At 36.2% G+C, this 14,590-nt stretch overlaps 1 protein-coding gene and 1 pseudogene across 10 annotated transcripts in view; one reads left to right on the forward strand and one right to left on the reverse strand.

The window, feature by feature from the left end:
* LIPJ (lipase family member J) overlaps positions 1 to 14,590 on the forward strand; it is a 40,278-nt gene that overhangs the window by 22,907 nt on the left and 2,781 nt on the right. For 8 of the 10 annotated variants that reach the window (NR_172141.1, XM_006717635.4, NM_001010939.3 and 5 more), the window contains one exon: positions 861 to 1,163. The exons of 1 other annotated variant lie outside the window; for it this stretch is intronic. Coding sequence is in view for 8 of the 9 variants with exons in the window: in XM_006717635.4 (XP_006717698.1) it covers positions 861 to 1,094 (234 nt within the window). In the remaining variant the exon portion in view is untranslated. Of the gene's footprint in view, positions 1 to 860; positions 1,164 to 14,590 lie in introns of those variants that run through there. One more of the 10 variants, XM_047424642.1, reaches the window with a different exon arrangement.
* Positions 12,569 to 13,138, reverse strand: RPL7P34 (ribosomal protein L7 pseudogene 34; annotated as a pseudogene).

A 14,590-nucleotide genomic window follows, 5' to 3' on the forward strand; every position in this document is an offset into this window, starting at 1 on the left:
GGACCAGCAGATGAAGATAATGTTTATTTGGATACGTATTGTCACATCCAACCAAAGTGGCTTTTCCATGTTTTCTATGTATTTTAACAACAAATAACCCGGATAAGTCCAGAAAAATTGACAGGCAGTAGAAGAAGTTATTATCTCTCAAGAGGAAAAATACTGCGTTTTTTATATCCATAGCTTTACACTTGGTTAAATAAGAAGTAAAAGGCATAATATATTTATTCACCCTAAAACCAGTTATTCTATTTGGAAAGATAAGAAAACATATATAATAATTAGGAAAAATTAGAAGTAAATGAGAATGTGGTAAAAATTGTATAAGGACAAAATTATTGAAGTACTAGAACCCAAGTCTGTCTGACTCCAAAGTTTATGCTTTTCCTCCATACTTTTCTGTCTCATCTAAACGCCAGGCTGATGTGATCTGTTCATATAAAAGTCTGATCTTCATATAAAATTTGAAGATCAAATTCAAAGAGATCAGAGTTGACGTGGACTGCCAATACTTATAATTTATTGACAAACATATTGACAGTAATACTGCTACAGAAAATTTGATTTAAAATCTTTCATGTTTTATAAACAGTACTGAAATTACCTCTGTGAAATGTTCGAATATTTTGAATTAGAACAAACTGTCTAGTTTAGATTTATGTATGACTTATTTTCAAGTAAAACTTGTAATCCCTATTCATACTTTCATACCTTTGTCTCAACAGATCCAGTAAGTTGAATCCATTAGATTTGACTTATTTTAAAACAGTATTTAAACTCATCATTTTAACAATTAGTAATTAAAACCTTCTACTGTATCATCTCCTATGAAAACTATTTTTTCACTCATTTATTTTCAGACAACGTCTCCATTATACAACATGACAAACATGAATGTGGCAACTGCAATTTGGAATGGTAAAAGTGACTTGTTGGCTGACCCTGAAGACGTTAACATTTTACATTCTGAAATCACAAACCACATTTATTATAAAACTATTTCTTACTACAATCATATAGACTCTTTGTTTGGATTAGATGTCTATGATCAAGTTTACCATGAAATCATTGATATTATCCAAGACAATCTATAAAGAACCATGGCGCTGTGTGTTTAAAGATCTACATCATTCCTAATGAAATCCAATTCTTATTTTTTTTTACCTGTGTATGTTCTTTCATTTTTAAAACTAAATATGTAGTTTTTTCCTCTATATTCTCATTGACCTTAGGCCCTCCAGTCATTAAATCAGTGTCATTCATCATCTCAGGGGAAATGGCAGATTATAAATCAATCTAAGAAGCCTGTTGAGTTTCAAAATAGAATTTACATAACATATCAAAAACAATAATCTTTAACATTTCAATTGCAGGAGATAACTTTTTAAGAAAGTTTTTTTCAAAAGTACATGGAATTACATATATTATAAAAATAGAGTTTTGAGAAATACTTGATATGAAAGTTAATGTTCCTCTATGCTAAATGAAGAGTAAAAACACTTTTCAAGTTTTATAAAGGAGTTTGGGGAGAAAAGAAAAAGAAGGAGAGCCTGGATGCCAATGTAATATTGCTTGCCTTGTGATTATTTCAGGCAAAGTCCCAGATGTAGGGAGATCATAGAAACCGTAGAGGGGCTGTGCCTCACTTCCCAGAGTGTATAGCTTGAGAAGAGGGAAGTTGCCTTTCCAGCCTATTGTGTGTTAAGAGCAGCAATGGTTGAGTTATATTCCTAGGTAACTAGATCTGAGGCTGGACTCATAAAACATTATGCACTGTCGCTTGGTGCATATAAGATCCAAGAATTTCTTATACATGAGATGTGTAGATATATTCAAGAGAGTACTAGAAGATGGAAAGAGGACTAAGATTTGGAATGAAAGGATACTGTCAATAAATGCAACACATATAATAGGAAGCACGGAATGTGGCAAGACAATGGGCATCACCAGGAGATGTACACTAAACTCTCTCTCAAAATTGCATGCAGACTTCCTGTTTCCAGTTTATCACATAAGAAGATTGAAAGTCACCACTCAGTCCAAACAACAAATAAAAGTTCAGTAGACTGAAAAATCAATAATTCCTCTTGTCAATCTTTTTGACACTTAACATATTTTTGTAAGTTTTATTTTCAAGAGCTTGATCAGGTTCTCACAGTAAATATTGGAGAAAAATTCTCTTGTGCTCTAGCAGACAGAGAAAAATAGAAACCGTTTTGAAACAGGTGACAACACTCTGCTCTTAACAAGGCCTGTCCTCAGAAGAAACTAGTTAACCATAGCCTAACCTGCAGGGTTTTATCAAAGCCTAATGAACCTGAAGGAAAGATCATACTCAACTCCTGCCTACTCTAGCTATCTCCTCAAAGTGGAACTGAGAAGCACTTCTGAAGTTCACAGTCCAGAGGCACAGGCTCACTAAAAGACTGAGACCTAACAACGGGACTATAGAACGCTTCGCCTCTCTCACATCTCACCACTATGTTACCACCTACTCTGGTGGAGGATGTTGTTAACGAGGGAGGCTATGAATGTGCAGGGCCAGGAAATATATGGGAAATCTTTGTACCTTCCTCACAGTTTTGCTGTGAACCTCAAATTAGTCTAAAAAATAATTCCTTAAAAAAATTGCATGCAAGGATATATGCCACAGGGGAAGATAAACTTTTCTTCATTCCATTTCCTGAATACTGCATAACTTCCGGGGACATTTGTAGTCCCCAGGGAGACCAAGATGCTAAGAAGAAAGTCTAGAATTGAGTGTGAATTTACCACATAAAGACTAACAAAAACGATCCATAATTTGCTGCATTGGAGAATTAAGTTTTCTGCATTAAGCAAAACAGGAGTTGAAAGGCAAGTTCAGCTAGTTTTGAGGTTGATAAATTTGTAGTTAACACATACTTATGGACATCTGAAATTATTATACAAATGAGGCAGGAAAATAGGGTCCAAAGGCAGGGATCCTAAGGACTTCCTAGAACTAAATCAAATGGAAAAAAAACTCCAACTCTATAGAGCAAGAAAATAACTTTGTAACTCCACTTCAGCTATGTCAGGAAACATCCTCTTTATTTGCATAGGGTGTACAACAAGTAAATATCTTTGTAACTTCACTTCATCCTCTCCAATTACACAGGGCTTACACCAAGCAACCAGTGGGAAACCTCTAGAGGATATTTAAATCCCAGAAAATTATGTAACCAGGGTTTTGAGCCGCTTGTTCAGGCCTGCTCCCCCCTGTGGAGTATACTTTTGTTTTCAATAAATCTCTGCTTTTGCTGCTTCATTCTTTCCGTTCTTTGTGCATTTTGTCCAATTCTTTGTTCAAAATGCCAAGAACCTGGACCCCCTCCACCAGTAACACAAATATAAATTAAACATACAGATAGAGAAATAAAATATGTGTATAGGTTATTATGAATGCTGCTAGGGAAGGTAAATAATAACTTGCAAAATTATAGTTGAGGCTATGAAGAAGTCCTTGTTTTCTTTGGTAAACCTTGGCACTAAAATAGTACTGAGAATAGATACATCTTTAGAGATATCTTTTTAAAGAGCTCCGGAATGTTAATATGACTTAAACATTACTTCAGTGGTTTCAAATGATCCTTCAAAGAAGGCAAATATAATGGGATAATAATTCAGAAGTATTACTCATGTTGATATTTAAAGAATAAATTGGAAGTCTCTGATAATGGTGGACTAAATAACTTAGATCTGGAAAAAGCATAAAAAGTATCTGATTGCAGACAATGGAAAGCTAAAAACACAATGAAGAATTTCAGTCAAGAAAAGGAAACCCTACCGGGTGCAGTGGCGCACGCCTGTAATCCCAGCACTTTGAGAGGCTGAGGCGGGTGGATCACGAGGTCAAGAGATCGGGACCATCCTGGCCAACATGGTGAAACCCTGTCTGTACTAAAAATACAAAAATTAGCTGGGCGTGGTGGTGTGCACCTGTAGTCCCAGCTACTCGGGAGGCTGAGGCAGGAGAATCGCTTGAACCCGGGAGGCAGAGGTTGCAGTAAGCCGAGATCATGCCACTGCACTCCAGCCTGGGCGACAGAGCGAGACTCTGTCTCAAAAAAAAAAAAAAAAAAAAGGAAACCTGAAGAAGTGAGAGGGTGCTGTATGTATCTACATCCCAGCAACATCTACTTATTGGGGAAGTATGGCTAAAAGCCCCCCAATTAATGGAGAATAGAAATTGGAATTCAGTCCACCAACAGGAAGTTTCCTCTGATAAGCCTCAATCCTCAGCCTTTGGGTTGTAACCCCAGAGTACTGTACCCCAAGAATAAGGTTAAAATGAAAATTGATCACTTATTTAGGAGCTGTAGTCCAGCTTTGAATCATAATGATTACTAATGTACTAAAGTGATCTAGAAATACTAATACCCTAGCTGTCAAAAGCAAAAGTAAATCCTCTCTGGCAGAAAGTTAAATTATCCAAGGTGCTAGAAATAATGATATAATTTTGGCATGCCACAGAATAGGTCAATATAAATTATATTTTTATGTACTAGCGTCATCAATTGCAAAATGAAATTGAAAATATTATGCCATTTTCAATATTATGAAAATATTTAAATACTTAAAAATACAGATAAATACGTTCACATTGGCAGATGCAATATTATTAAGATATCCACTCTTCCCAAATTTATTCAAATATTCATAGCAATTCTAATCAAAATCCCCTGGGCTCTTTTTTTCTTACCCTAGAAATTGTTATATTAATTCTAAAATTTTTATAAAATTACAATTGCCAAAACAATTTTAAAAAATTTTATAGAATTTACACTACCTAATTGCAAGACTTACCACAAACCTGCATTAACTAAGACAGTGCGGTATTAGCATAAAAAGATGTCTACATCCATGGAGCAGTACAGAGTTTGGAACTAGACCACACCTATGTAGTCAGTTGATCTTTAACAAAGATGCTTAAGTAATTCCACAGAGTGAAGGATTGTTTTCAGAAATGGACAGCATAATTTTAAAAAAGACGAACTTTAACCTCTACATTACATCAGATATAAAATTTAATTTGAAATTAGTCATAGAATTAAGTCTAAAATCTTAAACTATAAAACTTCTAGAAGAAAACAGAGGAGAAAGTCTTTCTAACTTCAGGCTAGGCAAACATATCTTAGAAGAGACGCAGAAAAACCGAAGATCCTCACAGAACCCACTTCACTCCCCTGCTACCTCCACCAGAGCAGTGCTGGTATCCACAGCTGCAAGACCTGAAGATGGATCACATCACAGTTCTCTTTGCAGACACTCCCCAGTACCAGCCTAGAGCCCAGTACCTCCACTGGATGGCTAGACCCAGAAGAGCAAAAACGATCATTACAGTTTGGCTCTCAGGAAGCCCCATTCCCAGGGGAAGAAGGAGAACACCACACCAAGGGAGCACCCCATGGGACAAAGTAATCTGAACAGCTACCCTTGAATCCCAGATATTCCCTGTGACATAGTCTACCTAAATGAGAGGGAACCAGAAAAACAATTCTGGTAATATGACAAAAAAAGTTACTTTAACACCCCAAAAGATCATACCAGCTCACCAGCAATGGATCCAAACCAAGACAAAATCTCTGAATTGCTAGAAAAAGAATTCAGAAAGTTGATTATTAAGCTAATTAAGGAGGAACCAGAGAAAGGTGAAGTCCAACTTCAAGAAATCAAAAACATGATGTAGAATAAGAAAGGAAAATTCTTAGTGAAATAGAGAGCATAAGCAAAAAACAATTACCACTTCTGGAAATCAAGGACACACTTAGAGAAATGCAAAATGTACTGGAAAGCCTCAGGAATAGAATCGAACAGGCAGAAGAAAGAACTTCAGAGCTTGAAAACAAGGCTTTTGAATTAACCCCATCCATACAAGACAAAGAAAAAAGAATTTTAAAAAATGAACAAAGCCTCCAAGAAGTTTGGGACTATGTTAAACATCCAAACCTAAGAATAATTGGTGTCCCTGAGGAAGAAGAGAAATCTAAAAGTTTGGAAAACATATTTGGGGGAATAATCAAGGAAAACTTATTCAGCCTTGCTAGAGATCTAGACATCCAAATACAAGAAGGTCAAAGAACAACTGGGAAATTAATTGCAAAAAGATCATTGCCTAGGCACATAGTCATCAGGTTATCTAAAGTCAAGACAAAGGAAAGAATCTTAAGAGCTGTGAGGTAAAAGCATCACATAACCTATTAAGGAAAACCTATCAGATTAACAGCAGGTGTCTCGGCAGAAACCCTACAAGCTAGAAAGGATTGGAGACCTATTTTTAGCCTCCTTACACAAAACAATTATCACCTAAGAATTTTGTATCCAGCAAAACTAAGCTTCATAAATGAAGGAAAGATACAGTCTTTTCCAGACAAATGCTGAGAGAATCTGTCACTACCAAACCAGCACTACAAGAACTGCTAAAAGGAGCTCTAAATCTTGAAACAAATCCTTTGAATACACCAAAATAGAACCTCCTTAAAGCATAAATCTCACAGGACCTGTATAATAATAACACAATGAATAAAAAACAAGGTATTCATTTACATTCATAACATTGAATGTAAATGGCCTGAATGCTCCACTTAAAAGATACAGAATGGCAGAATGGGTAAGAACTCACCAACCAAATTTCTCCTGTCTTCAGGGGACTCACCTAACATAACACATAAGATCTCACAGAAACTCAAGGTAAAGCAGTGGAAAAAGATATTCCATGCAAATGGACACCAAAAGCTAGCAGGAGTAGGATTTTTATGTCAGACAAAACAAACTTTAAAGCAACAGCAGTTAAAAAAGACAAAGAGAGACATTATATAATGATAAAAGGCCCATTCCAACAGGAAAATATCACAATTCTAAATATATACGCACCTTACACTGGAGATCCCAAATTTATGAAACAATTACGACTAGACCTAAGAAATGAGAGAGATGGCAACACAATAATAATGGGGAACTTTAATACTCAACTGACAGCACTAGATAGGTCATCAAGACAGAAAATCAACAAAGAAACAATGGACCTAAACTATACCCTATGACAAACGTATTTAACAGATATTTACAGAATATTCTACCCAACAACTGAAGAATATACACTGTATTCATCAGCACATGGAACATTCTTCAAGATAGACCATATGATAGGCCACAAAACAAGTCTCAGTAAATGTAAGAAAACTGAAATTATATCAAGTACTCTCTCAGACCACAGTGGAATATTCAATATTTATGTGGTAATCAAAATTGGATGTTTTTAGAAGCTAGCGTAGTTGCAGGGTGGTGGAGGGGCAGTGGGCAGAGGATTTAGCTGGTATAGAAAAAGATCTTGTTTCTTCGGGGCAATAGCAGGCATCATTCCACAAAAAAACTTAGCATGTTTTCTAGTTTTCTAAGAGACCTATAGGTGACAAAGGGAAGAATAGGGGCCTAGGTGAAATATAAGTGTCTTCTCCAGGCGGGAACTATTGTAACTATTCCTGAAGATAAATAAGCATAACATATGACTCCCAGTGCTTATGTCAGATCACAGGTTTACCCAGTGAATGCTAAGTGGTTGTAGAGAACAGAAGGTAGCATATATGAGAGATGGGGAGGCGGGGAATGAAAAAAAGGTAAAAAGAGATTGAGTTATTTTTCACTGGTTGTATACATGATTTGATGGAGAGTGTATAGGGAAGAGGGTAATGAGGGTGCAATGGAATCTCACTTAGCAAGGAAAGAGAATGCACAATTGATAAACACAATCAACTGATGAATCTCTAAGATTCCATTTATATGACATTCTCAGAAAGAGAACACAGCAGTGATAGAAAGCAGATTAGTGATTGCCAGGGAGTAGGAAAAGAAGTATGACTGGGGATAGCATAAGGGAGATCTTCCTGGTGATGAAACTAAAGGCATCCTGATATATATATATATATATGTGTGTGTGTATATATATATATATATATATATATATATATGTGTGTGTGTGTGTGTATATATATATATGTGTGTATATATATATGTATATATGTGTATATATATGTATCTTATATATGTTACATATATATGTAAAAATTATATAAAAATATGTTAAAAATGTATAAACTGTACACCAAATTTTTAAAAGTCAGTTTTACTGTATAATGTTTTTAGTTTAAAAATTAGAAAAAATACTTAAAGAGGAAAAGGCATCAATGGATTAAATTCACAAAATGGAAACAAAAGGCAACATGTGACTCTTATTTGGATCTTAAGCACAAAACTGTGGGAGAGAAAAGCATGAGGTAGTTTAAAAAATTTGAACGATAATTGGTTATTTGATGATATTAAATGTTAAAAATATTTTAGTAATAATATTTCAGAAGTATAGTTGTGTTGTTTTAAGAAATCCTTTTAGAGATGTATGGTGAAATATTTACAAAAGAAAATATATATTTTAGATTTGCTTCAAAATAATTCAGTGCAGGGGAGAAAGTCTGAGGTATAGATTAAACAAAATTAGCCATGAATTGATGACTGCTGAAGGTAGCTGATAAGTAGGTTGGGATTCATTGTATTATTTTTCTCTACTTTGTACCTCTGTTAAATTTTCCATAATCAAAAGTTAAAGAATAAACATTTTAAAAAATTAAAAACATTTACAGTAGCATCAGAAGTATGAAATACCTTGAAATAAACCTAGCAAAAAATGTGTCAAACCTGTGTATTAAAATACTATTTTGAAACATTAAAACAATCAAACTGTGAGGAGAACTATAGATGTTCATGATTGAAGACTTGGTATTGTTGATATCAGTTTTACCCAAATTGAACTATACAATTAATACAATCCCAATTAAAATCCTTTTTTGTAAAAAAGTTATAAGTTGAATCTAAATTTTATATAGAATTGCTAGTGGTAAAAAATAGTGAAGAAAATTGTTTTCAAAAGTATTAATATTGGAGGATTTACCCTATTAAATATCAAGAATTATAAAATTACAGTACTTAAGACAGTGAAAGATTTTTGCAAGGATAGAAAAATATGCTAACGAAATAAACTAGAGAGTCTAGAAGCAGAGTCATACATGTATGGTCATCTGATTTGATAAAATGACAGTGCCATATGGGGAAAACTTTGGGGTTTACAATAAAACAATTAGAGATTACATACATTATGTATATCTTATATCCTGTTTTGTACACTATAACAATAATTCAGGTGAAGTGCTGATCTTAATGTAAAAGGCAAAACAATAAAGCTTCTAGAGGAAAACATAATATTTTCAAGAACTTAGAGTAAGCAAAGATTTCTTAAACAGAGCACACAAAGCATGATCCTAAAGGAAAAGGCTGGTAAATTGAATTATATTAAAATCAGGAACTTCAAAGGGATTGTAATATACAAAGAATTTCTACAAATTGATTTTAAAAATACAGACAAGCAAATTTAGAAATGAGCAAAAGACTTGAATAGGTACTTTGCAAGAGAAGAAATTCAAATCTCTCTGATAAACAGAAAAAGATGTTCAACCTCATTAGCCATCAGGGATCATAGAAATACCCTAACAGACCCCTGTCTCTACTAAAAATACAAAAAATTAGCCAGACGTGGTGGCAGGCACCTGTAATCCCAGCTACTTGGGAGGGTGGGGCAGGAGAATCACTTGAACCTGTGAGGTGGAGATTGCAGTGAGCCAAGATTGTGCCACTGCTTTGGGAGGGTGGGGCAGGGGAATCACTTGAACCTGTGAGGCAGAGGTTGCAGTGAGCCAAGATTGTGCCACTGCACTCCAGCTCCAGCAACAGTGTGAGACTCCACCTCAAAAAAAAAAAAAAAAAAAAAAAACAGAAAGAAATACCCTAACATACATACTAGAATGGCCCAAAGAAAAATGATTGACAATACAAACTTGGTCAACATACAGAAAAACAAAACTCTTAAACACTGCTGTAAAATGGCACAATCATTTGGAGAGTGGCCTGGAAATATCTACTAAAGCTAAACATATATCTACTATGTGACTTAGCAATTAAATTCCTAGGAATATACAGAATGTTCAGAGCAACATTATTCACAATATCCCAAAATGGAAATAAACCAAATGTTATCAACAATAAAATGGAGGCCTGGCCCCATGGCTCAGGCCTGTAACTCCAACACTTTGGGAAGCCAAGGTGGGAGGATCGCATGAGGCTATAAATCGGAGACCAGCTTGGGCAACATAGCAAGACCCCATCTCTACAAAAAAGAAACAAAAACAAGCAAAAACAATAAAATGGATACATAAGTTTTGGTGTGTTCTCACAATGGAATACTCTTGTAGAATAATGACAGTGATTAAACAGCTAATGCATACAAAAACATAGACAAATCTCCAGCCACAAATAAAACTAGAATTTTATTTCCATTTGCCTGTTTTCCCCTGGGAAAACACTGTTTCCTTGCAGAGGACTTTCCTGTTAGTGACCCCGCGGGGAAAGCCTCCCAGGCTGAAGGCACTTCACCTATCTCAGCAGTTAGAACAAGCCCTTCAGGGTCCTCATAAAAGTCCCTGGCCTGCGTCAGGGAGAGGCTGATCCCCCAGGGCCGACTGGAATCTGAGCTCAGACCATTAGGAAGCAGGCTCAAAGCATAAGATCCTCGGTGAACAGGCTGTGCAAACGCCAGGTCGAGCTCAGTTGGCGCCGAGCGCCCTTAACCGCACCTAGAGGCCCGACCTGCTGAGGCCCTCAAAGCAGGAGCTGAGGCGGGGGATCCTCAGGCAGGCACTGAGGACAAGGAGGACTTCCATGGGATTACGGCCGCCTACAGAAGAAGTGGACGCCCACCAATAAAGACCAGGCCTGGAAGACTCTGACGGAGCACTACAGCATCCTGAAGTTGCTGGATGGGTATCCCGCAACCCCTGCCTCAGGCTGAGGCTGCCTGCTCTCTGGCCTGGAGAAGGGGAGATGAAGAGAGGAGGCAAGCCTGCTTCCTGGGGCTTTGCCAGAAGCCACAGCCTGCAGCTGCTCTGTCAAATGGCTACAGTCTCTAGAGGACTGAAACCCTTCTCTGAGGCCTTTTGGCCCAGCTCTGTGAAAACAGGACATGGAGGCCCTGCTGGGCTGGTGCTCAGTCTCTGCTTGGTCCCCAGTGTGTAAGTGGCTTCTTTTCTGGGCCTTTCTCTTCCCCCTCTTTACTAACCCCTAATCCCATAGCCCCACCACTCTCTTCCCTTCATGGAGTTCTGCTTTGTGATTTTGTAAAGAAGAAACCTAAAATTTAAGCTAAATTAAAAACAAAACAAACAAACAAAAACCAGACTGCTGAAGGAGGGGATCTTGGTGATGCCAAACATGCTCTCGGGACAAGACAGATCAGTGATTCAAAGCCCGGCTGAGCCATGACAGAGTAAGAAACATGGAGGCCTTCAACAGGTGTCTCAGAATAACTTACGGCAGTCGCTAGAGATTAGATACCTGAAGTTAGGTGAGATAGGATTAGACAATGATAATTTGAGAAATCAATAAATATGAAGCTTTAAAAATTCTTTAAAAATTCAGAGGAACCACTCAGTAAATCTGCCTACATAATAATTATTATATCAAAGATATTTAAAATAAGAAGAAAGTAAATACCAGGAATACGTCTCCTACTTTCCATGTATTCCTTTGACTGCATTATTTGTTCATTCTGCAATGGTCCAGAAATATCAGTTTTTGTCACTGACATAAGAACGGAGAAGACAGAGAGGAGGGAAGGAAAAGAAGAGCTCATTAGTGAAGAGGAGAGAATACATGAGGGAAATGATGAAGAAAGGGGAAAGCTATGGTTGTACAGAGAGAAAACAGGAATTAAGGATGCTAAGTGCACAGCTTCCCTTCACCTGAGTGAACTAGTTGGTACTATTGAACATATATCTGGTACCTCATTCTTTGCAAGAAGTTCTGGAAGCTTCAGAAAGCTCCTCTAAAGATAGTGTCAGAAAGGAGTGAGGGGCTGGAGATAAAGGAAGAAATGGGAACAGCTTTAAAAATCATAGCAGTTTCCAAGTCATATCAAATAATTTTTTAAGCAACAAAATTACTCTCTCTACTAGTAGATTGAATCAAATGAAAGCTACTTTGGAATAAATTTGATGTTGCTCAATGGACTATTGCTAACTCCAAAGATAACAGCACTCTCCCTAGATGATCTTACACTTTTCATGCTTCAGTTGTCACATATGAGAAAAAGTTGAGTTTGTCATAATGCTTTCGGGCCTGGAAACCTCTTAAGCCAGATCAACCTCAATAATTAGGTCAGCATCACCCAATCTGCATGTACAATCTGCATGTGGATATTTTTTTCAAGCTGGTATTTTTTTTTCAATTTGAAAGCAGTCATTGTCTATTAACTGATGAGATTACAACAATAATCATGGTAGATACCTTGTTTTATCTTTCTAATAAGCCTATTGATCTAGCCTTCCCTGTTGCTGGCATTTTCACCTACAAATGGGTGGCCTTTTTCTTTATTCTGTGGAGAAGATAACTTGAAGGGCATAAGAAGTTATTTGCTTCTTTGAAGTATTTTCCAGCTGTATAGATCTCATGAATCAGATTCTTCATGCAGATGATACCAGATTTATCAAGAGATCAAGAAATCAAAGTGTTATCTGTCAAGGCAATTCACTTCTTACTGATTTTGCCATAACCATGCTTATATATTAGTTTATTTTCTGACTTCAGGTTCGGGTACCCCCCTGCAATATGTGGTTCTAAAGCCTCAGCATATTCATTGAGGCCTTGAGCTTAACAAAGTTTCTGTTGAAAATCTGGCAAAGGCAAAAGAGTTGCAACACCTTTTGGACTCACACCATTGATACCTCTGACCCTGATGACAAATGCCAATTTGGGTTCTGCCAGTATATAGCAGTTGCCAGCTTTTTTTGCCAGCCTAGCCATTTGAATCTCAGTTATGGGCATCTGCCTATAGTCCTTGTGATAGTGCTTAGCTTTTTCATAGATAAGCTTCCTCCTTGCCTTTTGAAGCATATTTTCCTTCTTAGGCATTTTGATCTTCAGCTCTGTGAAATTCTTTTGCTCTTTCTTAAAAGTTTCTGGCACAGCAGGAACCTTCTTTTTCTTCTCTTCAGCACCCTTCATGGTTCCAGCCAGAAAAGACATCAAACTGTTTTGTACTTCAGGATTTTAATTTATTTTTGTTAACTATGCGTACATATTAGGAAGAAGAAAATAATTGCCTTTGCTGATACTTGCTTTCTGTTGGTACTGGTATTCTGTGGTATGATAGGAAGTGCGCAGATTTATGAACTGATTGGCATATATTAATGATATAACCCGGGCAACCCGCTTGGGTCCCCTTCCACGCTGTGGAAGCTTTGTTCTTTCACTCTTCACAATAAACCTTGCTACTGCTAAAAAAAAAAAAAAAAAAAGCTGTAACCCACACATTAACCAGCTGTATGGTCTGGGCAAGTCACTTCGCATCACCTAGACTCCATTTACTTTTCTATAATATGAGTACATTGGTATAGATAGTATCTAAAGTTTTTTTTCTTCTAATTCATACATATAAAAGTTTTGATTTTATAATTGCCAAATAATAGAAAAAATAATTGCTAAAAATTGATGTTTATGCAGTAGAAAAATCCCCCTCTTGCCACACACACACACACACATATCCCTTTTGTCTGGTTGCTGGCAAGCTTTGATCCCTAAGAATTGGTTATGGCTTTGGCCCCATGGCCTACAGCAGGAACAGAGAAGGAGTGGGGGTTGATGATTGCCTTGTCCATGAGTTACTGTTAAATTCATTATTTTTATTGGGTTTTTTTTTCTATTTCTGGGGTCCTTAAAACCTTTCCTCTTGAATTCTAAAAAGAGTATATATGTAATATCAATTTTGGAATGTTTTAAAATAAACTTTGACACATACATCACACAAACATGAAGCAAAAATGGATTGCAGAGCCAAAAATCTAAATGTAAACCCCAAAGCATAAAACTTCTATAGAAAACATGGGAGAAAATCTTTGTGATCTTGAGTCAGGCAAAGATTATTTAGATAAGATACAAAAAGCACGATCTATGAAAGAAAAGAAAGGATAAATTAGATTTAAAAAAATTAAAAACTTCTGCATTTTGAAAAGACACTAAAAAAATAAAAAAACAAGCAACAAACTTGGAGAAATATTTGCACAATTTATCATTAAAAGACCCCCAAACCTCAGCAATTTAAAGAAACAAACAACTAATTAAAAATGAGACATTCTTTAACAAATGCATAACCTCATTTGAATTATGGGAAAACTTTTTTTTTGTTAAATTGAGGGACCTTCGGCAAAATAACTGAAGTGTTATTTAAAACTGTGAAAATTATGAAAAACAAGGAAAGAACGAGGAGCTATTACAGACTGAAAAGTACTAAAGAGGAAAAAATAATTAAATGTAATGTGGAATCCAAAATAGGATTCTGGAACAGATAAACAACATTCCAATAGGAAGATTAGAAAAGTTCAAATAAGGAGTATAGCTTAGTTAATGATCCTGTACCAATGACAATTTCTTGTTCTGGATAATTATATTATTATGATTATGAAAGATGTTAATA

This window comes from Homo sapiens, chromosome 10 (assembly GCF_000001405.40).
Source record: "Homo sapiens chromosome 10, GRCh38.p14 Primary Assembly".
Taxonomy (NCBI): Eukaryota; Metazoa; Chordata; class Mammalia; order Primates; family Hominidae; genus Homo; species Homo sapiens.